The 3,186-nt window shown below is 39.7% G+C and overlaps 1 long non-coding RNA gene across 1 annotated transcript; it reads left to right on the forward strand.

Annotated features, from left to right (window-relative positions):
- Positions 1–516: 516 nt before the first annotated feature.
- LOC105370840 (uncharacterized) lies at positions 517–2,142 on the forward strand. The gene is made up of 3 exons (XR_932314.3): positions 517–555; positions 1,330–1,475; positions 2,064–2,142. It is a non-coding gene; the product is annotated as an uncharacterized LOC105370840 (long non-coding RNA).
- The last annotated feature ends 1,044 nt before the right edge of the window (positions 2,143–3,186 follow it).

The following is a 3,186-nucleotide window of genomic DNA, read 5'->3' on the forward strand; positions in this document are numbered from 1 at the left end:
GGGTATCACATTCTAGGTTGGAGAGCACATACAATATCCAAAGTGACTCAGATTTCTGATTCTTTGAATACAACCTTCCCTTCAGCTCTCTGGAAGCTTCTAGGACCTCTCCTTTGTCCTTACTGTTCATAAATATTATCATCAGGTAATGTATTAGTCTATTCTCACATTGCTATAAAGAAATACCTGAGACTGGGTAATTTATGAAGAAAAGAGGTTTAATTGGCTCATGGTTCCACAGGCTGTACAAGAAGTATGGCAACATCTGTTTCTGGGGAGGCCTCATGAAACTTATAGTCATGGCAGAAGGCGAAGGGGAAGCAGGCCCATCTTACATGGTGAGAGCAGGAGAAAGAGAAGGGGGAGGTACCACATACTTTTAAACAACCCAATCTCATGATAACTCCATCACAAGAACAGAACCAGGGTGATGGTGCTAAACCATGAGAAACTGCCCCCATGATTCAATTATCTCCCACTAGGTTCCACCTGCAACATTGGAGATTACATTTCCACGTGATATTTGGGTAAGGACACAGATCCAAACCGTATCAGGTGAGTTGATATGGATCTATTTTCATCCATTTTGCTAGGCACTTGGTGGTTGTTTTCATTCTGAAAACTCATGTCCTTCAAGTCTAAGAAATGTTCTTGAATTATTTATCTGATAATTTTCTCAATTCTCTATTTGAGGAATTTGTGTTATTCAGGTGTTAGACTTCTTAATCTGACCTAATTTTCTTATATTTTTATCCTAGTTTACATTTCTTTGCCATCTGATTCTATCTAGTTTCTAGAAGATTCCCTCAATCTTATTTTCCAAATTTTATATGGAGCTTCTGATTTGTGTCACTTTTTCCCAAGACCCTTCTAGTTTTTGTCCTTCTGATTTTTTTTTTTTTTTTTTTTTTTGAGACGGAGTCTCGCTCTGTTGCCCAAGCTGGAGTGCAGTGGCGTGATCTTGGCTCACTGCAAGCTCCACCTCCCAGGTTCATGCCATTCTCCTGCCTCAGCCTCCCGAGTTGCTGGAACTACAGGTGCCTGCCACCATGGCTGGCTAATTTTTTTATATTCTTAGTAGAGATGGGGTTTCACCGTGTTAGCCAGGATGGTCTCGATCTCCTGACCTCATGATCTGCCTGCCTCAGCCTCAAGAAGTGCGGGATTACAGGTGTGAGCCTCCACGCCTGGCCTTCTGATTATTTCTTTATTATAGCATTCTATTCTTGCTTTGTGGATGCAAAATCATCTCTTATCTTACTTTAATTTTTTTCTTCTCTCTGAATTCTCTCTATTTTCTCAAATTTATTTTTTTGTTTCTTTTCTTAGGTGTTTGTATTTCCTTTCAGAGTGAAGATATCCTCAAATGTCTAGTGATCCTTAACTGTCTGTTCACCTTTAAGACTACAGCACTAAAAATCTGATTGGAAGTTCTGATATATGAGTTGGGTTGCCAACTCTGGGTCTTACCCCAGGTAATCTGGCTGGATTGTTTCATAGGACAACTCCCAATGTTAACACAGGGTCTTTTCTTTTGGACTAGTCAGATTTATCAGATACTAAATTCCTAATCTCATACCTGGAAGTAGAAACTGGCTGCCAGCATTTTGGAAGTCAATTGGGAGAAGAGCAGGTTCTCAAATTCAAGTAATGCCCCTCTTTTCAATATGATATCCCTATCCTCTTACCTTCATGGTGCCCCTTAGTTCAGAGAATAAACCGCACAACTCTGTTACACTGAGGGAGGGGTAATCATCCAGCCATTCCAAGTGGGGGAAGGAACAGAGGATGTAACTCTGTGCTCTCTGATACAGTAACCACTAGCCACTGTAGCTATGTACTTTACATAAATTTACATAAATTAAGTAAAATTTAAAATTCAGTTCCTCAGTTGCAGTAAGGAAATAGCCACGTTTCAAGTGCTCAATAACCACATGTGGCTGGTAGCTTTTGTATTGGACAGTGCAGAAATAGAGTGTCTTCATCATTGCCAAAAGTTCTGTTCAACAATGCAGGTCGAATTGCTTCTCAAATAGTCTTTTCAACCAATGCTTATGTTTCAGTCCTACATTCACTGCCACTTCCAGAAATATCTGGTATCACCAATTCATGAGCCCACTGGAGGTTTTGAGGTGCAAGTCTGGATGATGTATTGGCTTTTCCTGCCAGAATAGAAACTCCACAAAAACAGTGATCTTGGTTTTGTTCATTGATGAAATCCAAGGACTTAGAAGAGTGCCTGGCACATGGTAGGTACTCCATAAATGTTTGCGGAATGTTGAATGAATGGCTTATTTGAGAACCAAATGAAATCTACAGCTTAAGGGATTCCATCCGTAAGGGGTCTGTAGTGAATAATTGTCATTCATGTCAGCTGCCCATATCTGAACCCTTTTACTATTCCTGGGGAGCTCCACGCCTGGGGAGTCAGAGCCTTCTCCACCATAGGAGGAGATACTCACTTTCTCAGCTTCCCTTGCAGTCAGGGTGCAGGAACAGGTCAAGCTTTATACCTGACCTAGATCTGGAATTAGAAGCTAGTGACCCAAAGAACTAGGGATGGCCCAGGATCCATCTGGCTGAATCATCAGCATTGCTGTGTTTTCGTTGATCAGTTCTGCAGCCAAACTGGAGGAACCATTTCTGGCTGCATAGATGGCTCCAAGCCCATTCTCTAATCATACCCAATATCCTTTTAACTGATTCCTTTTTTGGGTTTGAAGAAGCAAAGTTAGTTTCTGTGACTAGCAAATAAGAACTCAGATCGATAAGGAATTCAGACAACCCATGTTAGGAACCTCTGATTTGGACACAGAATAGAATAAGAAACGTATAACCCAACATTTTAAACAAAGAAAACTAATTTTCTAAAATTTACCTAATGGTTTCTAGGAAATTTTGGCAAAAATTCTATAAGATTATTTTAACAGAACTTTTCCTCAACATTGATCCTGGGAGTTAGTATAGACTCACAAGCTCATAGTGTAAAGGCTTTTTTTTTTTATGCCAGGAAACCCTTAAAAGAGTTTGCATTGTAAGTTGGAGGTATTCTTGGCCATTTTCTTCATTTAGAAAAAATATGGACAAATTTCAGTGTCCCAAATAAGCAAAATAAAATTGTGAATAGATATCATCAATGCTTATTAAATAAGAGAAGGAAACCATCACTGGAGGTTATTCACAGAA

The sequence above is a fragment of the Homo sapiens genome, chromosome 15 (assembly GCF_000001405.40).
Source record: "Homo sapiens chromosome 15, GRCh38.p14 Primary Assembly".
Taxonomy (NCBI): Eukaryota; Metazoa; Chordata; class Mammalia; order Primates; family Hominidae; genus Homo; species Homo sapiens.